Source organism: Homo sapiens, chromosome 5 (genome assembly GCF_000001405.40).
Source record: "Homo sapiens chromosome 5, GRCh38.p14 Primary Assembly".
Classification (NCBI taxonomy): domain Eukaryota; kingdom Metazoa; phylum Chordata; class Mammalia; order Primates; family Hominidae; genus Homo; species Homo sapiens.
In genome coordinates this window covers 77,138,116-77,162,128 of record NC_000005.10, presented here as the reverse complement: position 1 = coordinate 77,162,128, position 24,013 = coordinate 77,138,116, and the positions used below count along the sequence as shown (strand labels likewise).

Below are 24,013 nucleotides of genomic sequence, written 5' to 3'. Positions count from 1 at the left end.
ATAGAAAAACAATTGATTCTCATACATTGGCCTTGTATCCTCCAACCTTGCTAAATTTACTTATTAGTTCCAGGAGAGTTTATTTATTTATTTTTAGGAAATGTACTACATACATGATTATATTTTCCTCACATAAAAATATCTTGAAACTAAAAAAAAAAGAAAAAAAATTAAACAAGATCAAAACATTTGAAAGGATACCTAACAAAAGAAGATCTATAAATACCCAATAAGCACATAAAAAGATGTTTAACAACATTAGTCATCAGGGAAGGCTAATTAAACTGACAAGAAAATACCAAAAAAAAGTCTGCTAGAATGGCGAATATTAAACATACTATAGTACTAAATGTTGATAGACCTTTGGAGCAACTGAAATGCTCATCAATGTTGGTGGGAGCACAAAATGATACTATTTCTTTTAAGAGTTTGCCAGTGTCTTATAAAATTATGTATATGCTTATGTGTATATGTATACATACATATTTATGTATGACCTAACAATTCTGCTTCTAGATATTCACCCAAGAGAAATGAAAATGTATGTCCACAAAAGGATTTGTACTCAGAAGTCCATATCAGCCTTACTCATGAGACCAAAACTGAAAAACCTCCTGTTCATCAATAGGTGAATGGATAATCAAATCAAATCAAACCTCCTGTTCATCAATAGGTGAATGGATAATCAAATTAATCAAATCAAATGGATAATCAAATGTATAATCAAAATGATAATCATACAATGGAAAACTATACAACGATAAAAAGGAACAAACTACTAATACGACAGCATGGGTGAGCCTCAAAATCATGCTTTGTGGAAAAGTATGTATTATATTATTTCATTTATATGAAATCCAAGAATAGGAAAAAAGTAACCTAAAATTATGGAAATTAGATCCATATAAAATGGCACAAGAGAACTTTTGGAGGTGACAGAAATATTCTATATCTTCCTTATGGTCATGGTTATGTTGTTACACATTTATCAAAACTCACTGAATTATATACTTTAAATGGATGCATTTTATTGTATGTAAATTATATAAATTACACTGCAATTACATTGAAAAAATTCATAATAAACATCCAAAGAAAATGACAAACTGAGAAGATTTGCAACACAGAAGGCAGATAAGTTTGTAATATGCAAAGAACTCTTAAAAAAGAATAAAAGGCCAGGCATGGTGGCTCATGCCTGTAATCCTAGCACTTTGGGAGGCTGAGGTGATAGGATCACTTGAGACTAGAAGTTTGAGACCAGCCTGGGCAACATAGGGAGACCCCAGTCTCTATTAAAAAATAAGAAAAATATCCAGGCATGGTGGCCCACTTCTGTAGTTCCAGCTACTTGGGAGGCTGAGGTGGGAGGATCACTTGAGCCTAGGAGGTTGAGGCTGCAGTGAGCCATAATCACACCACTGCACACAGCCTGGGCAACAGAGCAAGACACTGTCTCAAAACTAAACTAAACTAAATCAAAAAGAAAAAGATATACATACCGTTAAATAATTGTAAAACACCCAAAGGAGTAATTCATAAAAGAAGACATATAAACAGACAATAAATATGAAAAAGACTCCAACTCTTTAGAAATCAAGGAAATACAAATTAGTATACGACAATCTACAGTTAACCCTTGAACAGCATGGGTTTGGACTGTGCAGTTCCACTTACACGTGGATTTTTTCCAACCATAGATTGAAAATACAGTATTCATGGGATGCGAAACCTAACAGCCAAATTTTCCTGTCTGTGGATTCTGCAGGGTCGACTGTGGGACTCGAGTACGTGCAGATTTTGGTATAGCGGGCATCCTGGAACCAATCCCCAATGCATGCTGAGAGATTACTATAATTTATTATTTATAAAATTGATTATTTTTTTAAACTTAAACACCTGGGCTTGGTGCTTTGGGAAGGCAGAGAGAAAAAGGCACTTTCAGCTCTTTAGTAGGAATGTAAATTGGTACAATATTCTTGGAAGAAAACTTGTCAGTATATATGCAAACTCCTTTTGCTTTAACAGGATGCCTAGATGAAGGGGCTAGGGGTGGGCATGCCTGCATTCCCTCTTCAAATCACCTCTGGTGCAAAGATCCATAGGTTTATGCCTCTGTTATGTGTCTGTGTTCCAGAAAGCAAAATATAACCTTAACTTTAAATGTAACCATTATGTGCTTCTGTCCTGGGAAGTAAAATTTAATCTTAATCAGGGTAAACCAGTCTAGCACTGAAAGACCCCAAATCTCCAAAGCAACCAAGAATCAACTGAGAGTCTCTGGATATGCACCCTTCAAAAGACCAGAGGAGACCAACCCTTCATATCCTAGGCAGGCTCCAGGCTAAATCCTGAACAACTGCAGCACATTAGCCAGTGTGGGCTCACATGGGGCCCTGCCATTGTTAAGTGGTGCTCTCCTGCAGCTCAAGACTAGCACTGCTGGAGAGCAGGGGCTACCTGTAGTAATCAAGGTTCTCCTAGAGGGACAGAACTAATATGATATATGCAAACGCACCAATCCCCAACCCAAATACATATATGAACGGGAGTTGATTACATATTAACTTACATGATCACAAGGTCCCACAGTAGGTTGTCTGTAAGCTAATGAGTAGGGAGAGCCAGTCCGAGTCCCAAAACTGAAGAACTTGGAGTCTAAGGTTCAAAGGCAGGAAGCATCCAGCACAGGAGAAAGATGTAGGCTGGAAAACTAGGCCTGTCTCTCCTTTTCACGTTTTTTCTGCCTGCTTTATATCTGCTGGCAGCTGATTAGATTGTGCCCACCAGATTAAGGGTGGATCTGCCTCCCGCAGCCCACCGACTCAAATTATAATCTCTTTTGGCAACACCCTCACAGACACACCCAGAATCAATACTTGTATCCTTCAATCCAATTAAGTTGACACTCAGTATTAACCATCACACTACCTATTCACCAGGCTTGGCTCAATCGCTATGGCCAGGAGGATGGAGTAGTCTGATTGGCCAGCTGGGTTATATATCCTTGCCCCTATGGTAGAGGGCGACATAGTCAATCAAGTCCCATTGAGACCACATAGAGTAGGGCAGGAGTCCCCACAAGGGAAGGAATGATGGATATGCTTAAAAGATAGAGATGTTACCACAGAGGGCAAGGAGGCATTCTCTCACCTGCATGCTCAGGCTCCCTGACTCCCTCCTGGAGTCACCGGGCCATTTCCCTGTGTTACCTAAGGAGTATACCATCAAGTAAGTACACTTGATGTTGAGTCTCATGTGTTGCTTGTCATTCTATTATCCCCAAGAACTGGAAGAGATGGTCCCTCTTTCTCAGGTGTAGTGGGATCTGTCTTCCCTGCCGCGGGATCACAGGTGATGTGTGAGAAGAAAGACTGAGGACAGGCCACACCCAGAGGAAAACCTGGAGTCCTGGAAGGAGCCTATTTCAACCTAGGAACGTGCATGTGTGAAAAGAGTCGGCTACAGGTGGTTGTGCAAAGTTGGTAGAAGGTATTCCACCCACAGGCCACCCACCCAGGCTCCATCCACAGGCACTCAGAGCTCCAGAATCAACCAGATGTCCTTCTCCAGTTTATACAAATCTCTCCCTTCTTTAATTTCCTGCTGCAATTTGCACTGGCCTGCTAGTGACCTCCCAGTTGCTCTTGCATTGTTTTAGAAGAATTCAGCATGTCTCCTTAACTAGCAGGAAAGCCACAGGTTAAATACTACCTACTTCCTTAAGCCTCCCTTGATTACCCCAGCCTAGGATGATCTCTCTTTCCCCTTATCCCTATTTATACTGGCAGTCGACATTCTGCTTTGTGGCAGCTTTTCATTTGTTGACTTGAATCACTACATATTTTTAGCATCAGAGTTAATTCTTTGTGCATTCACACTTTCTCTCCCCACACGTTGTCTTCCATTTCTTTATATCTCCAGCTACATACAGCACCCAGTACCAGGCAATCTAGCCTAGTGGCTCAGAACCTGGGCTTGAGAGTCATACACCTGGGTATGAGTTCCAGCTCTGCCACTTACTAGCTGCATGACCCAGGACAAGTTATCTGCCTCTATCTGTCTTCTTTGTCTCTAAAATGAGGATAAAGGTAGCCCCTTCACTGGGTGGTTGCAAGGATCGAGATAAATGAGTGGCAAGTGTCCCACACAGTGCCAGCTATTAGTATGTAAGTGTCTGTAAATACCGTCTGATTGAATGGCTCTGATGGAGGAGGGGCAGTCAGTAACTAGAGAGAGGGATGCTCTAGAGCAGGGCTGGGAAGCCAGAGCACCCGTGGGAGGACCCCATGCTGTCCTAAACAGGGAGGCAGAAACCTGGTGACCTTAGGCAACAGACTCCATGGGACAGGTCAGAGTTTTGGTTAAGGGAAAGACATGTGGGGAACTGAGGTTTCATAACACAAATTAAGCTAGTAGAATATTACTAATTCATTCAGCAAGCATTTATTAAGCACCTATTGTATGCCAGGAAAATAAGATATTTTCTCCTTGGATATAGTTAAGAGAATAATAGCTAGAGTGTGTCCTCTATCCACATTTATCCATCACGCCTCTATGTGCATATATAGTTCGCCTCATGACTTATAGCCTGAATCGTTGTGATTGTCTCTTAACTAGTCTTCACAGCCACCCTCATGTTTTCTTTGCTAATCTATACAGAGCAGAGCTGGCCAAATGAGTTTTCTAAAATACCTGAACAATGTATTTCCTTTCTAATGTTTTAGTGGCTCTCACCTGCTGGGATGTCTGTCCCTTCTGGGTCCCCACACTCCGGTGTTTCACACCTCCAAGTATGTTTCAGACACAGTCTTCCTGTGTCTCAACCTAGCAAATATCTTTTTATTCTTTAAAAAACAGTTCAAGTATGAGTTACCCTGGGAAGCCTTTCATACCCATCAGAGCCACCCACTATATTTAAATAGAGTGAATTTAATGCATGGGATTGATTTTCCAGAGGATGAAAACATGGAGTCACCAACCAGGAGACAGTGAGACAGTTTTTTAGCACCAGTAAAAAACTGTTACCACCCAGAGGCTGGAGGGGCGATTAAAGAAAGTCACCAGAGCTCAGAAGCCATGATCACCCTGCTGAAGCTGGACCCCAGTGGACCTGTCTAGTGGGAAATGGACTCATGGGAGAGACCATATGCTTTTAAGATTTTGAAGATGCCACTCCAGGCAGAGAAAGGGGAGAGCTACCCTGACTTTCCTCTTCTCCCATCCTCCAGCCTGTCCCAGCACCTCCCACTGGCTGAAACAGCCAGCAGCCAGCTGACACTGAACCTGAAGGGGTTTCTACACCCCATCCCTTACCTCCCCACCCCATTCCTGCCTCCCCCAACTACCCAGAAAGTGGGTGAACAGAGGAAGAGTGAGGGGTGGAGCTCCTTCCTTTCCTGCCTCCCCTATGGTGATAGCCACCCTCTCTTCTCTCTTCTCTGCTCTCACTGTGATCCTGTTTTCTTGATAACACTGATTCTACTGGGCTGTGATCTCTCTGTTTATAAGCCTGTTCCTTACTAGATTGTGGAGTTCCACAGGGTAAGACAATGGCCTTATTCATCTTGGCATCCTCAGCTCTGGGCATAATTCACAGTATGTAATAGACAGCAGTACGTAATAGGCACTTAATCGTCCTTGGGTATCGATTGAAAGGAAATTCCTGGGGTCACCTCCAGCTAGCTCTCCTTCTCCATCTCCTTTTTCAATCTACCTACATTGACAGTCTGAACTCTCCTCAGCACTGAAGAATAAACAAGAAGGAGCTTGGGGTTCATTCCCCTCTCTGAGTCTGCAATCTAGGGCCTTATATTTAAATTCTCCCAACAACAAATCACAATAGTTAATTACACTCAGAGCACCAACAACCTATCAGCCTTCTACCTTCCCATAGCTACATGAACATTATCCACAGAAATTCCCCTGAATCTCAAAATATCTTCCCTCTACCACCCAAGATGTTTCTGGGCCACCTCTCTCTGCTGTTAATCAGTGCGTGCTCAGGGTAAACAAACTAATTTTAAAATCAGCTTAAGCAAAATATAATTAGGAAGATAAATTAGCTGCCCCCCAAATTGCATAATGAATGCCCAAGCAGCAATTATTTTTATTATCCACCATTTTTTATTATCTATGTAACATTTTCCCTTCCGTCATTACAGATGATACTTAGCTGACAGCAGAGAGAAATAACACAGGACTTAACTTCTGGCCTTGATAATATATCTATACAATAATTACCAGGGGAAAAATACCTGGCTTTTGTTTTTCTTATCTTGAATTTATAACACCAGCCTAGTGGTATAGCAAGAAGGTACAGAGAAAAATACCCCTGATACCAGAGTCAAACAGCCAGGGTTCAACTCTTCGTTCTGATTTATTGCTATACCATCATCGGCAAGTTAGGCAACCTCTGAGAAATCAGTTTCTCTACATGTAAAATGAGGGTGATGACAGCACCTACCTCAGTGATGATGACAGCCAACACACGCTTACTCCATGGTTCTAACCGCTTCACACGAATTCATACCTTTCATCTTTACCACAAGCTCAGGAAATACACACTATTATTCTTTGCACATAAGGAAACAGACACAGAGAGATTAAGTAATTTGCTCAAAGGGATATTGTGAAAATTGGGTGTAGTAACTGATCTTTATAGAAATGAGTCTTTTAACAAAGCTCTCTGGTCAAGAGGCCTGGATCCTACACTCCTAGCTCAGCATTTACTGCTCTCTGTTTTAGTATCTGCCTATATGAAATGTCAGACGACAGCAGCTGTCAGTTGGTGGCCTATGGGGCGGACCTGCCTGCGGCTACATTGTGTTGCATTGCATAGTGTTTACATTTTAAAAAGTAGTTGCAGTGTTAAAAATCAGATTTCCCTCTATTTCTCCCTTCTCATTTTTCTCTCTCTCCACACATACTCATGGGTGAACATGTGTGGGCACAGACATAGAGAGAAGAGAGAAAAAGAGAGAGAGAGAGGAGGGAGAGAGAGGGAGGGAGATTTCAAGCTTTTCTTGAAAACAGGCCCATCTGGCCACATGGGCTGTTATTCCCACGGGCAACATTGAGCCAAGGCCACCTCCTTTTACAAGAGGCAAATATGCCCCAATTTGCCATAGTCCCCATTTCTCACACTTGCGCAGACACTTAAGTCTGCAACATCCAGACTCAATGATCACTAAGGTCTCTCCCTGCCACCGCTGAGAGTCCATGATTCTTTGACAACTTAACAGAGTTTCCCAAAGGAAGAATCCACTGCAGGGCACCATAGATTTTTACTGAATGTTTCTGTCGCATAGGGTGACCAGTTCATCCCAGTTTAACTGGGACTTTCCCCTTTTCAGATGGAAAGTACTGCACCCCAGGAAATTCCTCAGTCCCAGGAAAACCGGGTTAGTTGACCTATGTGTCACGTCACAAGGTCACCTCTAAGGTGGGCCCTCCCATCTGGGAGATGATGATGCTATACTGCATCCTAGTAGTCCTGAGTCTCACTGGGCAACTCCTGTGGTACAAGGATGGCATGCCTAGTATCCCCACCCCACAGTATATATGCAGGGGATGTGGGCAGGCCAAATGCAGAGGACCTTAACCTGGTTCCCAGTTTCATGACCGATTCTCCTGACGGGCCTCTGCATGATCTTAGGTAGGTCACTCAGTCTCTGGCCTCTCTGCCCTGCCATTCATTCATGCAACAAATATTTATTAAATGTCTTCCCTGTGCCAAGCGCCATGCTAGGCAATGAGGATAAAGCAGTGAATGAGCAAGAACAAGGTATTTGCCCTTAGAGAACTCACATCTAGAAAAGGAAAGACAGGAAAATGAGCTAATAATATCTGATAGCATTTCAGATAGTGATAATCCCATAAAGAAACCATCAGCCATATGAGAAAAGCAGTCAATGTGGCTACAGGACCATCAGCAATTTGGGTGAGAGGCAAGAAGTACCAGAAATGAGTCAGAATTTCACTTGGCCTCCCATTTTGAACAATATGAAATTCTTTAGGGTTTTGTAACTCAAGGGATATATGTAACAATTCAGTTTTTCAATTATGAAATGTTTCTTCCTTAGCAAAAAAAGCTTTATGGCTACAATCCATATCAATATCAAATGTGGTTCTTATACAGATGGGTTGGAAATTTATCAAGTCAAATCCACCCAAACAATAGCAAAAGGATTGAGAAAAGAGAGAGGCCAAGCTTATTAGCAAATCGGACAACATTTTTTTAAAAGTACAGCTGGGCCGGGCATGGTGGCTCATGCCTGTAATCCCAACACTTTGGGAGGCTGAGGCAGGTGGATCACTTGAGGTCAGGAGTTCAAGACCAGCCTGGCCAACATGGTGAAACCCCGTCTCTACTAAAAATATAAAAATTAGCCAGGCATGGTGGCAGGCACCTGTAATCCCAGCTACTCCGGAGGCTGAGGCAGGAGAATCACTTGAATCTGGGAGGCGGAGGTTGCAGTGAGCTGAGATCATACCACTGCACTCCAGCCTGGGTGACAGAGTGAGACTCCGTCTCAAAAAAAAAAAAAAAAAAAAGAGTAAAGCTGGAGTCAGGGGCCCACGTGCTAAAGCCAGAAGCAGAAAAGTAAATAAGTAAGTAAATAAACTGTCCAATATCTATCCCCAGCCCTCCCCCTAGAACCTGTGTACTGCTTCAATGAAGGAAGTGACCATGTTATAACAAATTAAGTAAAAGACACTATTACAGTATGACATTCATTCATTGCACAAATAGGTATTGAGCACTTGCTATATGCCAAGACTGTTATCACAAATAATGAAAGAAGGTGATACTTGGGAAGTTCAGCATATTTGTCCATATTTAAAATAACCCTTTTTTTAAATTATAAAACAATAAATTGCCTTTTATAATTCTTAAGCTTAAAAGGTAATAAAAGCCCTCCTTTAAGTCAGGGTTTCTCCACCTTGGCACACTGACATTTGGGGTGAGTAATGCTTTGCCATGAGGGGCTGTCCTATGCTTTGTAGGATGCTCAGCAGCATCCCTGGCCTCCACTCACCAGATGCCCATAGCACCACCTCCCTTATTCCCCTCCCAAGTCATTACCATGAAAAATCCCTCCAAGTGTTGCAAATATCCCCTGGGAGGGGAATCACCTCTGGTTGAGAACTGCAACTTTAAGCAATTCATTTTCTCTCACAATTGGGACTCAGACGTGTAGGCACTGGGAAAGGCTCCCTTCTTCCTCCATGCAAATAAGCAGGAGATTCTCTCCTGGAAGAGCCCTTACACTCCCCTTCCCATCCTCAATGCTAAGACTCAGTCCTCTCAAGAAAAGCAGTGCTATCCCAGGTCCGGCTGCGGAGGTGAGGGTGAGGGCGAGGGCAGGGTTGGGTGGGCAGGCTCAGCCTCTGTGAAGGGGATCAGTGAGCGTCTGGAGCTTATGTGGTGTGTGCGTCATGCTGCCCATCCAGGCCGTGCCCCAGACTTGCATTCCTCTAAATGAGCTTTGTTAACAATGCTGGAGAAAAAGCTGCTTCTGTGTGGGGCTTACACACCCACATGTAAGTCCAACAGTCTGTGGCTTTTCTAAGCCAGGTATATTAAAACTGCCCCGTCCTTCTTCAGCTTTGTGGCAAGTGAGTCTCCAGAGCTGGGTGCAGGAGATGCCTGCCTGGCCACTCCCCGCCATAAGGACTTTACAAAGAGTCCATTGTGCACAGCGTAATCTAAGATAGAATCAGCGCACCCCACTGGGCTGCTTACCCCCAGCTTTGGCTGGTTGCACAGAAGTAAACATTTTCAGTTGATAAAAAATGTCATTGCGAACTCAAGTCAGGCACAGCATTTTTAGATACCTAGAACCTGGGTCCTGGCTGCTTGGAACAAGAAGAAAATTTGTGTTGTGAGTTATCACTTAGTGACTCAGGTTCAGTGGTCCCCAGTCACAGAAAAGAGAGGCCAAACGGATCTGAATTCCACCTGTATTCATTCATTTGATAAATATCCATTGAGTCCCTACTGTATGCCCAGCATTGGGCTCTACCCCTGGGGAGAACTTAGCTTTAGATGGACTCTTTCAGGGTTCACACATTCAGAAGCTTCCAGAGTCTGATAGTAACCTAAAAGGGGGGTTGGGGAGGGGGAGCAGTGCTTATGCCCATCTGAAGGGGCCCTCTCCTCAGCTTCAGCAGCCTGTTACCATAATGGTCTTCAAGCCCAGTTTTACCAGATCTTCTTAATTTTCAAGAGAAACTAGAAAACAGAATTTTTACATGAAATCTTTTAAGCATAGGCTGAAATTTTAAAAGAAAAACAAAACAAACCGCCCTGCATGGATAATACCAAACCAGTCCCTAAGCCTTCAAATAACTTTTGCTTTAGAGACAGTGGGGAGTGGTGGTGAAGTGAGCTGTCTGGAAGGAGTGAGAAGGGTATCTTTTCTCCCCCTTGCTTGCTTCATGATCTTAGGCATGTTATCTAACCTCTCCATGCCTTGTGTTCCTCATGTATAAAATGAGCATGATAAAGCATATTGTAGATTTAAATAAAAGAATATGTGCACATGCCTGAGCCATAATAACTCAATAAATGTGAGCTATGATTTTTGCTGGCCATCAGGTCCACTCTCCCAAGAACCTCTTTTTATAACATTCTTGACTGTTGAACATTCAACCACTGCTTATGCACCTCCTGAGACAGGAAGATCATGGCTTCTTAGGGAATGTCAGTTGTATAAAAATCCCTGAGTCTCAATAGCTTAATCTAATATGTGTTTATTGATTGCCCATGCCCCAGTTCACTGTGGTCAATAGTGCTCTGTTCCATCCTATGCCTGGTGGATCCATACCCTCTCTCTGCTGGCTCTGCCATCCCCCAGGACCTTCCCAGAATCCTCTGCTGGGTTCTCTGCTTTCAGCTAGCTGAGAGGGAGAGAGAGAAAGAGACAGAATGAATGAATCAGGAGCATCACATATCACATCTGCACATTCCCATTTGCCAGAACCCTGTTACATGGCCCCAATCTACTTATAAAGGAGGCTAGGACATGAAGTGTTCCTGTATGTCCAGAAACAGAACAGAGAAAACAGCATTGATGAACATCTAGACAATCTCTGCCACACACTGCATTCATATAAACACAATTCTATGGATTTAGAATGTCTACCTGCTGGTCTCTGTTTTGCCCTTCAAAGCAAAACACACAGCAGCAAGACACAGGTTAGGGGGCAGACAGGCTTGGATTTGAATCCTAGTTCCAATACCTGTTAGCTTTGGACCTTGGCAAATTCCTTAATCATCTGTGTCTCAGTTTTCTTATTTGAAAAATAAGGGTAGTTCTCATTGCCTCTGGGTTGCTGTAAGGATGGAATAAATACACTTCATAGTAGCTAGTATATAACCTGGAAGGTGCTCAGTTAAAACCAGTGTCTCCTTTGGTCCTCTTATATCTGATTACTTTGCAGGTATTTAAAGATGACTATGATTATTCCTGTAAGTTTTCTCTTTTTCTAATTTTCTCAGCTATTTTCACTGCTTTTATATTACATCGTTGCAGGACCTCTCACTCTCCTAATGACTGTTTCAAAGATGTACCCTAGTTTGTCCCTTGACAAACTGCCTTAGTTTGGGTTTCTCTAGAAGACCTTGAGACAAGGACTTGGGTGCAGATCATTTAGAGGGAAGTAGTCTTAGGAAACAGAAGTGAAGGGAAAGAGGAAGGGAGAAAAGTTAATAAATGAGTGGGTTACAGTTGTATGCAGCTGGGATTCAATTCCATTGGGAACTCTGAGAAACCATGTTGCAAGCATCTTGGATAGTCACACATTCTATGTCCTGCAGGATGGGGGAGCTGGGGCATTAATCCATGAAATCCTGTTCCCATCGACTGAGGGCTTCTATCAACTAAGGAGTATTACCTTGAAAATATGGGTTGGGTCTACATATAGCTCAGCAGGCTTCCCTGACCTCCAGAAAGCAAAACAGAAAGACACTGTGATATGAGCTTATATGGACACTGGTAAAGTGCAAGGCAAAGTTCACCACAGCTACACTGGAATCTGGTGGCTGGAGGATGTGGCTCAGTGCATCATAAGCTCTGCTACACGTCCTCTAGCAAGAGTGTCTGGAAGAATTTACCCCACATGCTCATAAATATTGTGTCCGAATGTAGGGATTATGGTAATAGTTACTTTATCTTTTTAATTTTTTTCATTTCCTCAAGGAAACTGTGATGGTCAGTAATAAATACTGTGATCCAGGTGAGGGTTTGACCAATACAGAACAGAAGACATAATAGCTCATTAAAAGCAGACTGAGAGTAAAGGAAGAATTAAAACTGCTTCTATTTGCAGATGGCATAATCTTGCGTATAGAAAACACCAAGGAATCTATACACAAAATATCTAGAACTAATCGAAGAATTTAGCAAAGCTGCAGGATCTAAGATCAGTATTTTAAAAATCTATTGTATTTGTATATATCAGCAATGTCAAGCCCAAAAAATAAAATTAAAAAAATTCTATTCACAAAGCCTCAAAAAGAATAAACAGAAATAAATGTAATAAAAGTTTAAGACTTGTACGCTAAAAATTGTGAAACGTTACTAAGAAAAATTAATGAAGATTTAAATAAATGGAGACATTCCCTGTCCATGGATTGGAAGACTCAAGCTTGTCAAGATGGCAATTCCCCCCTCAAATAGATCTATAGGTTCAACACAATTCCTATCAAAACTCCAGCAAGCATTTTTGTAAAACTTCACACATACATCCTAAAATTTGTATCAAAATGCAAAGTACAGCCAAAACTATTCTGAAAACTAAGAACAAAATTGAAAGACTTCTATCACCCAATTTCAAAATTTACTACAAAGCCACATGAATACACTGTGATATTGATGTAAGCATAGACATATCCTTAGAGATGAATGGAGAAGAACTGAGAGTTCAGATATAAACGCTTGCATTTATGGTCAATTGATTTTTGACACAGGTGCCAAAAAAATCAATGGGGAAAGGATAGTCTTTTCTCAGCAAGTGATCCTGGAACCATTGTACATCCACATGTACGAATATGAACTTAGGCCCTTCTCTCACATCATATGCAAAAAATGAATTAAAAATGGATCACAGGCCTATATAGAAGAGTTAAAACTGCAAAACTTCTGGAAGAAAATACCTTGGTAACTTTGAGTTGGGTAAAGAGTTCTTAGATACGACACAAAAATCATGACAGTTAAAGGAAGAAGTGATACATTAGACTTCATCAAAATCAAACTTTTGCACTTCAAAAGATCATTAAGAAAAAAATGTTGAAAAACAAGCTCTAGGTTGAGAAAATATTCAAAAATCCTAGACTTGATAAAGGACTTTTGCACAGAATAAAGAAAAAACTCTTACAACTGAATAATAAGAAAAACAACTCGATTTTTAAATGGGCAGAAGATTTGAATAGCCATTTCACTAAAGAATGTACATAAATGGCTAACAAGCATATGCAAAGATGCACAATATCATTAGTCATTAGGGAGACACAAATTAAAACCACGATAAGATATCACTACATCCCCACTAAAATAGTTATGATGTAAAAGAGAGACAATACCAAATGTTGGTGAGGATGTGGGAAAATTGAAACCATCATATATTGTTGATAAGAACGTAAAATGGCCCGTTCATGTTAGAAAACAGTTTGACAGTTTCTTTAAAAGTTAAACATACATTTACCATACAATCTAGTGATTCCACTCATAGGAACCTACCCAAGAGAAAGAAAAGCATGTCCACACAAAACTGTACATGAATGTTTACAGCAACATTATTCATTACAGTCAAAATCAGGAAACAACCCAAATTTCCATTAACTGATGAATGAATAAGCACAGTGTAATATGAGCAGATAAGAGAATACTCCACACAGCAGCCAGGGTGAACTTTTGAGATTACAAACTTGATCTGTGATATTAAGGTTAAAAGACAAATGAGACAATTGTAGCAAGTTTGTTAACAGTTTTAAAGTATTTGACTATATAAGTGTATATAATGTCTTGTCTTGGTACCTGTGTAAGTCATTTTGGAACTGATACACATTGTTGCTGACCTGCTGACTTGCTTCTTTGGTATGAAGCAGCATCTGGGCTTGCAATTTCTCTACTTCCCTGAATTCTCTTTCAGTTTTTCTGACTCCTAAGCCAGGTGTATGTGTTTAGCTCCATAATGAAGGACTCCAGCTTCTGTGGAGTCTGGCTCATATTCATGAGACAATAGCCTTTTTCTGATCTTCATTTCCTGCCTGCGGACTTCAGAGATTTGGCTGGGGTCAGATCTGCTCCCAAGCTCATGTGGCTTTTAGAACATTCAGTTTCTTGCAGGTTGTCAGACTGAGGACCTCATTTTCTTGCCGTCAGTTGGAGGCTGCCTTCAGCTCCTATGCTATATGGCCCTCTTCACATGGCAACTTGCTTTTTCAAAGACAGCAAGGGAGAGAGAATCTCCTGGAAAGATGGATTAGAACATTTTTTTACTAATAAAAAAATTGTATTTACTTAGAAGCATTCAGAATTCAGAATGTCAACAAAACAGCTGCCACTTTTTTTTTTGCAATTACAGAGTGGTATTCAGTTAACAAAACAACAATTATTTCATATAAGCTGCATCAGAGACAAGTGAAAATAAAAAATCTACCATCCCCATGTATAACTAATTTGTGCTGTGCACTAAGAAGAACCTGCTTTAAATTTCCTTGCCAGTTTACAACCCCCATACTGTATCAGGCAAGGTTAGTGCCCATTGAAAATACACCAGGACAGGGCTATCTAAAGCCACATTCAGTAGTGTGTTAACTATACAAAAAAGACACTGTGCAGTTTAAAAACAAATGTTACACAGCCTTACATCTCAATGTCTTTCTTTAAAAGGAGTTGTAAACAGGGGGTTTAAATGCTTTCTAGACAAGAAAAAAAACTGTGCTAGAACCAACTTACTCATTATCATCATCATCATCATCTTCATCTTCCTCTTCTTCCTTTTTTTGCTTTTTTTAGCCGTGACAACTCCCTTTTTTGCTGCATCAGGCTTTCCTTTAGCTCAGTATGAGGCAATATCCTTTTCATATTTTTCCTTCAGCTTCACAGCCTTCTTTTCATAAGGCTGCTTATCATCTGAGGCAGTGCCCTTCCACATCTCTTCCAATTTCTTTACAACTCACCAATGGATAGGCCAGGATGTTCTCCTTTGATTTTCGGGCAATACTCAGAACAGAACAAGAAAACAGCCAAAGAATGCCTCTTGGGTGCATTGGGATCCTTGAACTACTTTTTCGTCCTAAAGGGGATCTTTAGGAGGGATATAGGTTTTCATCTGTCTTTCATAACGAGCCTTGTTCGCCTTTGCCATGTCTTCAAATTTCCCTTTCTCTTTAGCAGACATGGTCTTGCACCTCTCTGAGCACTTCCTAGAAAACTGAGAAGTTGACTGAACCATCTGGGTGCTTCTTCTTATGCGCCTCCTGACAAGTTTGCCAAAGAATGCATATAATAACACCTTGCCTCTCAGGTTCCATGGATCTCTTTTGCCCATGTTTAGTTATTTTTCCTCAGTGAGGCACAGAGCTTTCCAGTACCCACCTGGCTCTCACTTGCCCCCGTGCTCTCTCTATGCAGCTCAATGTACTCAGAATCTTATATAATATAATCATGTAAACATAATCACATATATCTCATCATTTTTTGCCAAATTCTACTAGTTAGAAGCAAATCACAGGTTCCATCCACACTCATGGCGAGATCCCACAAGGGTGAAACCAGGAGGTGGGGATTGTGGGAGCTACCCTAGCATCTGTCCTCAGTTCACCCTTTTGGCCTCCAATGATTTGTGTCCCTCTCACACACAAAATACATTTACTATTTCCCAAGGTCCCTGAGAACCTCATATCATTACAGCATCTGCTTGAAGTCCAGCATCTCATCATTTAAATCAGGTCCAGGTATGCATGAGGCTCCTTGAGCGTAGTTCCTCTCAATCTATAAAACTAAAGACAAATCGTCTTGCTCCTAATGCACAATGAAGGAATGAATATAGTAAAATAGTTATAGACATTTCTAGTTAAAAAGAGAAGGAGAGGTGGGCAATGGAAGATAAAAAGGAGTTACAGTCCAAAGCAGTTTTAAAACCCAGCCTAGCAAACTTCAGTCAGAATTCTTTGATTAGATTTCAAGGGCTGGGAATAATTCACCATAGCTCTTGGTTCCACCCTCTGAGTCATCTTTCCTTTTTTCATGAAAAGTAGCACATGTTTGCAGCTGAGTAGTTTTATCATTCTGCTTCCTGCCAGTAGAATTTTGGAGATCTAACAGCCTCCTTTCATTTTGTACTCTTTCCGTCCCTTTCAGTTTAAGTTGGCAGTGTTTTTGCTGAAATACTTTTCTTAAATACTTTGTGGGTCTCCAGTAAATTTCCCTTTACATAAAGGCCACATCCAAGGTTCTTTTTGAGCTAGGCCCCCTTCTACCTTGAGTTCCTGCTGAGATGGTTGAAAGATAACTCAATTAAGCTTCCAAAAGGTCCTATTATTTGAGAGGTTCTGTGAGATACACCATTAATCTCTGGAGAGGGCCCTTTGTATGACTGAATACTACTCTGATCCCTTAATCTTCCTGAGATTTTAACAAAAGCTTGTACAATCACTACTTAGCTTTTTCTCTAGGCCAGGACTTATCTCTATGCCACAAGCTCAAAAGTGATTTCTTAATTTTAACATCTTTTGCCATCTGGAGAGACTGAGAATTTTCAGAATCATCTTTGATTCCTTTTTGTTTAACAGTTCTTCCCTCGATTTATCACTCTCCTCTTGCATTTTACTATAAGCACCAAGAAGAAACCAGGTGGTACCTTCAACACTTTGCTTGGAAATCTTTTTAGCTATATTTCATCACTTTGTATATGTATCATTGTGATGATTCATTTGTGTGTTTCTGCTTTTAAGGCATTTGTAGCATTTAAAAGACTTAGATATAGGATATTTGTGATTTTAGAAGTATATATATATTATACACTATATATTACATATATTTAGGATAATCAATTAGTTTATAAACTAATATTTAGATATTTGGAAAATGTCACATTTGTTAAATGCATAAGTTTTCATTTTTAGTCGTTTAGGGAGTATTTGAATTTTTAGGAGAATACTGTTTATTAAATAATTAATAAAGATGTAAGCAGACTACAAATAGCAGTGATTGTGCCTCTCTACACACAGAGGCCTCTCAGACATTGAAGAATTTAATCAGATGTAAACATTCCAGAAAGATTCATGGGGGTGATATTGAAATCAGGGGAACTTAGAACCTGAGAGCCAGGCCTGGCTATCAGTTGCTGCTTCGGTGAAGAGAATGGACGGCGGCCTTGCAACGCTGCTGCCCTGACTCCCTCTAGTGGTTCGGTCTGCAAAGACTGCCTTTCCTGATCACCAAGAGAAAAAATCTTTTGCTAGGTCATCTCTCTCCAAAAAGTTTCATTTGCTTGGTGAGACAAAAAAAAAAAGCTCAAAAATTCTTCCTCCAACATTTTTATATATATCTAGTCTTCATACAAACATTTCCTATATAACCAAGTATCACCACCTACTTTGAACATCTTTAATGATTATAAAATGCTTCCTTCTTTTCAGCGGACACCGTCCCTATGACTCGTACTCATTGGTCCTGTATTTACCGTTTGGAGCCACGCAATTTTCACTGCTCTTCCACCTGACAGCACTTCAAATCTTTGAAAACTTTGAAAACAGCTTCTTGTCCCCGCTGCAACTTATCTTCTTCAGGCCAACACACGTTGTTCATTCAACTGCTCCTTCTTTGACCCAGTTTCCAGATTCTTCTGTCCCCATTGCTCCCCTCTGGAGGCACTCCAATTTCTCAACAGCCCCTGGAGACATCCTGACTGCCAAGACCTGGACCCAGTGCCTGAGATGTGGTCCTACTGCCCCACAGAGCAGTGGGGCTGACACTACCCTCCTCCTGGACACTTCTCTTGTGAATCCATGCTCTTTTGAGCAGATTTACAAAATAATGGACCAAAGGCTGAGATTTCTCATGTCTGGATTCTTCTCGTATGAGGCAACTTCACGTTTGCTTTACCCTCCATGTAGCCAGGAAACATTTTCTGTTCTTGGACCGAACTTAGTTTCCCAAATACTGATGTATGCAAACAACTTCAAGCAGACCAGGGCTGTGTGAACTTGGACTGCCACTGATCAGAGCGCTAAAAAAAAAAAAAAAAAAAAAAAATCCCTCAAGAAGGACCACTCCCTTATGAGATTGAGGCTTGGGAGCTTGAGAATGCACCTCTCATCTTCAAGCTGGGGACATCTGACTAGCCTAAATCCCCTCTGCTGCTGTTTAAACTCATTTCCTCTAATATTGCCCTCTGTGGACAAGAAGAAAAAAGACTTGATGTCAATAATGTAACATCGTTTTATAGTTTGAAGACTGATACACCTCTCTCCTCTGAATGAATGTAGACATTTCCCTAAAGGGCTATTTTTCAAAACCTTTCATCAGTTACTTTGTCTCCCCTGGCTCCTTTCCAATTTCTCCATAACATCTTCCACTTATGGGCCCCAAGACTGAACAGTATGTTTTAATGACTGATATTGGCTATAGATTAAGAATTATATCTGTGAAAATATTTCCATTATAACATAGCTCATTGTTACAAAGATCTACACATGTAAGAAATCCCTGGCGTATAACAGGTTACATTTCAAAACTTTCTTTGTAGATCAATTATTTGGTATTTGGGCACATTTTTCCATAAAAACAATGTTATATCTTGTATTTGGACTCTGAGCCTAGCAAACAAGAGCCAGTTTAATCCACAGAGCAATAATGATATCAGGTTGAATTTCAAGAACAGGAGTTCTCCGATGTTGAGAATAGAAGACGCAAGATGATGGGAATCTCTTCCTCCAGTTTCTCATCAGGGAGCCGCACATAGGGAACATTAGGAAAGGGATGGCTATTAACTTTGGGTGTCTTCTCACATTCTTTTCTGGCCCTCCCCACCTCCTTGGGTTCTGGTTCCCGATATCCTAGGGTTCCCCGAAGTCTCCTAGGGTGCTGCCTCACTCAGATCTTCCCACAGTCCCCAACTCTCCATGCCTCAATACATCTTAGCTCCTCTCTCTTATGATCCAAACACACATTTCCTTAATGAAGCTAAGTTTGGGAGAGGGTTAGGATGACAAGCTTTCCTTGAACCAGCTGCCATTGAGTAAATTCTGAGCAAAGCGTCTGTTTTTAAATGAGTAGCTTACTTATCCAAAAGACTCTCATCTGTGCAGTTTCAGGCACTGCCACAAAATTAAAAAAAAAAAAAGATTACATGAAGGGAATAATTTGGGGAATGTGGAAGCCATTATAATAAGTGTGCTTATTCTTCCTGCTTGGGAATCTATCCCAAATGGTACCTGCTTTCCACAGATTCCCTCCTTTCCCCCTTTCTGAATCACAGATTATATGCCCCAGATTGTTTTCAGCAGTTCCAAGATTTTTAAAATTGTTTTTATCTTGAGAAATTACTGAATTAAGGCAGATAGACAACCCCCTGCCACCAGAAGAGTACATACTGTAGGATGCCATTTATATAAAACTAATCTATAGTGATAGAAAACAAATTGTTTAAGCAAAAAATGGATTACAAAAGGGCCTGAGAAAACTGTGGGAGGAAACAAATGTTGATTGTGGTAAAGATTCCATGGGTACGTACACTTGTCAAAACTTATCACATTGTGTACTTTAAATAAGTGCAGTTTAGTGTACATCAATTATACTCAATAAAGTTGTAAAAAAGAGAAATGCAACCAATATGCAAAAAGACTAATTGGCATTTATTAACAGCTCATATTTGCCTCAAGGATTGTTTATAAAAAATGAACTAAATAAAACAGATAAAAGTGACATCCCCAGACACAGTTCCAGTTCTTTACTGCAACCTCCAGAAGCAAGTAGCATGAATTTAGTGTATATCCAAATCAGTCCACTGGTAATAATTTTACATACATATATAGTCTTAATATAATGTATTATTTCTGTGTTTTTAAAATTTATATCAATGACATGCACATTTTATTCCATGAATCTCTTTTCTTTACATTATGTTACGTGTTGGTATTATATAGATACTTTATACATGGATATATTATGTTATATATGGGAACAATCCATTCCTTCTAATGGCCATTATAACAATTCATATCCTAATAGAATATTATGGTAATTCATATCAAAATAGAACGTGAATATGTTACATTTTATTTATAAATTCTCTCTTTGATAGGCATTTCAGTTGTTTCTAAGGTTTCATAATTATAAGCAATATTGCAATAAGCTAAGGTTTTCAAAACAAATGTCATGGTATTGGCGGTAGGAGTTACTGGGTAGTAGCCACCTGGTAGGTATATAGATAGGTCTTCTATGAGTCAGATATTGGTAAAGTAGAATGTCCTGTTTCAAGGATCCATGGACTGCACAAAAATAGCCAAAGTTGAATAAGACCCTGTCTTTAAATTCCAGAACAACAAAGTGGTGCTATTATGTATCCTGCAGAGTTGGAGATGATTCAGAGGACAATTCCAATGCCCCATAGAGTTTAAATCTGACTTGGATACAGTTGAGATTCAAAGCAGATGACCTCCCACAAAGCAGGTGGGTTAGATGCCTTTAGCAATAGGCCAAAGCAACTCAACTCTATCTGTTGCTGTTTAAAGCCTTCTTGAAGGTCGTTAATGTTAAATGAGCACCAGAAAATGTATATTCATTGCTTCTAGGTTACTATGTTTGATACATATGTATTAAATCTACCTTGTTTATAGTATTAGATCCCTCTTTTGTGCTTAATTTTTACTCTCTTGATTTGGTAAAGGTTCAAGGTAGCATGTTAAAGCATCCCATTGCTATTATGTTTCTAACAATTTTTCTAAAAACAAACATATACCAATTCCCAAAATTTATAGCTTTGTTATAATTTTAGAATATTGAAAGGTAAAATTCATATCTCAAAAGTATAGAGAAGAGAACTTCTAGCAATATAGTGGACTGAGATTATATAGAAGAATTCCCTCTTCAGTTACTGTTACAGGGAAACACAGAGAAAATTTTTTTATATATCTATATATACACATGTATATGAGTACAAATATGTACACACACACATACATGTATGTGTATATATACGTACATGTGTATGTATATATACGGTGGATGTACCTGACAGCAATAACTTAAGCATACTCTGTACAGCAGCCTGTATGGCAAACACATCTGACAGCAATAACTTAGCCTAGGAAATGGGGGTTGCCATGTGGATGTTGCTGGAGAGAGGGTGCTGAGTGAAGGTGCTGTATAAACTGCAGGCTTTTGGAAAGCAGTTGTGGTTCTCTTATCCAGCCCACTGCCACTAGTCCATCCCTGTACATAAGTTCCCCCAAATCAAATCTTATGTCTCATTTGCTGGCTCCAGGTCTCTTCTTTGGCCTCTTGAACCTGGTGCCATTCCTATTGGAGTCAATAGGGGTCCAGCACAACAATCTCTAGACAGAGAGAAAGGGAAATCCCCAGATTCTAGAAACAAAGAGGGAGCTCAGAGGCTGGGCAGTAAGTAGGGGCTAATGTCACTGTAGCCTCTGCAGGGTTTGGACCAATGATAGGCCCTGGAGATCTGGGGATTTTAACACCCTTGGGATTTTAACACCCTTGCAGGCCAATAAAATATTGTCTCTGGTGTGAGTAAGGAAGGCAACTGGAATTGAGCACTTTGCAAAATCTGAGTTCCTGAGGGCTACAGTGTTGGCAAAAACAAATCAGGAAAAAAAGCTCCCGTGTCCTTGGGCTATAGGTTTAAAAAAATAAAAATAAATTTAAAAAAAGGTCATACAGAAAAACTTGAAGCCAAGCCCATGCCATGCATTGAAGTGAGCTCTGAATTTTCACTGTGGGCAGAAATACCAAGAAACATTAGAGCTGGTTGAGAGTTGGTGATATCGGTAGGATGCCATCAGAAGCAAACTTGCAGGCATAGTGAAGTGACAATCACATTACCCAAGGCATACAGATCTTCACCAGAGGGGAGAAATCCCTGCTGAAAATAAGCTCATAATAAAAATTACAAACCATAGGAGGAAACCACCTTGAGGGTCAGATCATGAAATTAACAGAAAAAGTAATGCCCAAGAAGTAAAGAAACAGATCAAGCCACAGATGATTATAAAATAAGTACATTTTAAATGATTTACAAGGGCAAAGGAAAATACAAATTAAAAAACAGAAAAACATGTGAAAACAAAATGCAGATTTAGAAAATAACCAAATAGTTCTTTTATAAATGAAACTTATAGCCACTGAAACTTAAAACTAAATAGAAATATTTAATGGTTGAATAGAAAATAAGCAAACTGGAACTAAGGAAATGACTCAAAATGTAACACGGAAGTAAAAATGGAAAAACAATGAATGAAAGTTTAAGATCACAAAAGACAGAACCAGAAATGACAGAAAAGACATCCACTAGGAGTTTTGGAATGAGTGAATAGAAAATGGGAAAGAAGTAATATTTGAAGTGACAGTGACCGAGAATTTTCTCAGATTTGACAAGACAGGAATTCCTAGATTGACAAGTACACTGTATTGATACCTACTGCTGTATAACAAACCATCCCAGCATTTAGTGGATTAAAACAACCACCATTTATTTAACTGGCAGTTCAGTGGGTGAGCAACTTGGGCCTGGTTCAGCTGAGAGGTTCTCTTGGGCTTGAGAATGGGTTTACTCACACATTGGTAGTCATCTGGCAGATGCAGTCAGCAGGCCACGGCCTGGCTCCTGCTGGCCTAGCAAGAAATAAAGGGGAAGAGAAGGAGCCTCAGTCCAGGGGGGCTCCCTGCAGAGAATGCTCTGTTTCGCTTAGCAACCATCATGCCACAGACAAGTTACTCTGGCAGTGACCCAAGACCTCTGTGTTCTAACTTAATGTGCTGGGGTATAGCGTGTTCTGCCCTTTTACACAGATTGTGACAGATGTTGACTAACTGGGAACGACTTGATTCCAGGAGGGGCCGTGGGAGTCATTTTAATTAATGGCTTGACATTTCTTTGCCATTGTTGCAAGCTTGAGGTAACTAATGGTTAGTTTTACCCATGACCACTTCGCCCTGCAAATTCAGCTCAAATAACCTAAATTAAAATAGAAATTGCTTTGGTCAGGGTTAAAATTTGTGCTGTTAGGACTATAGTCCTAAGACTTTTTTCTTTTTTGGATTATGGCTAATGTTTAAAAGAATCAACAAGACTTATCTGTATCTTTACATAGTGTTTTAGATCGTTGGATAGGCAAAGTAGAAAAGGCGAGTCTGGATTGTGGGAAATAAAAGCAAGTAGAAAAAAATTGAAAATGCAGATCATTTCAAAGAAGAAAACAACAAGGCTTTCCCATCTGGGGCTTCCTAAAACATGAATTCCTCTCAGCCAAGTAGTGGAACCTAAAAAGTCATTTGTTTTTCCTAAATAAACTCCATGCTGGAGTCTTTGATAAACAAACTGATAGGAAATAAGGAAACCCTGTTAAAAATCACAGTAGACTTTAGAATGAAAGAAGCCTGCTTACTTCTGTTCTGGAAATACTCAGCTCTGGAAAGGGCTTCCAGGCGGATCATCCTCACATAATTTTTATACTTGAAATATACAAGCTATGGGAGAAAGCAAAAACAAAAACAACAGAAAAACCACCCTGAGGGACAAGAGGGAAAAGTGTCACCTGTCCCAAAAATTTAATCCATTTAAGACCTAAAAGCAGGGCCAGAGGGAAGGTGTAGGGAAGGGTGGGGACAAGAAACCATCCATGTGGCTTCAGGATGGGAGGGGGCTGAAGAGAAGCCACCCCCCGGACTCCAAATTTCCAAGGACAATATCTATTTCAAATATTCACTTGTCTCCTTCTCCTCATAAATGCCCTTGGACTTGTATTACTAGATGTTCA

The 24,013-nt window shown here is 40.3% G+C and overlaps 1 protein-coding gene, 1 long non-coding RNA gene and 1 pseudogene across 8 annotated transcripts in view, besides 1 other annotated feature; all 3 read right to left on the bottom strand.

The window, feature by feature from the left end:
- PDE8B (phosphodiesterase 8B) overlaps positions 1-24,013 on the bottom strand; it is a 341,542-nt gene that overhangs the window by 266,128 nt on the left and 51,401 nt on the right. The window lies entirely within an intron of this gene.
- The window catches only part of ZBED3-AS1 (ZBED3 antisense RNA 1), a 62,587-nt gene continuing 51,401 nt past the window's right edge, over positions 12,828-24,013 (bottom strand). For 4 of the 6 annotated variants that reach the window (NR_182763.1, NR_024398.2, NR_182771.1 and 1 more), the window contains one exon: positions 12,828-14,477. This is a non-coding gene — a long non-coding RNA (ZBED3 antisense RNA 1). Of the gene's footprint in view, positions 14,478-19,849; positions 22,869-24,013 lie in introns of those variants that run through there. The other 2 variants (NR_182770.1, NR_182766.1) reach the window with 2 other exon arrangements.
- HMGB1P35 (high mobility group box 1 pseudogene 35) lies at positions 14,972-15,561 on the bottom strand (annotated as a pseudogene).
- Positions 17,271-17,565: an enhancer, noted in NCBI's record as "tiled region #15273; HepG2 Activating non-DNase unmatched - State 12:CtcfO, and K562 Activating DNase unmatched - State 12:CtcfO". NCBI's record gives its function as "activates a minimal TATA promoter and a strong SV40 promoter by Sharpr-MPRA in HepG2 and K562 cells {active_cell/tissue: HepG2 | K562}" and the evidence as "EXISTENCE:reporter gene assay evidence [ECO:0000049][PMID:27701403]".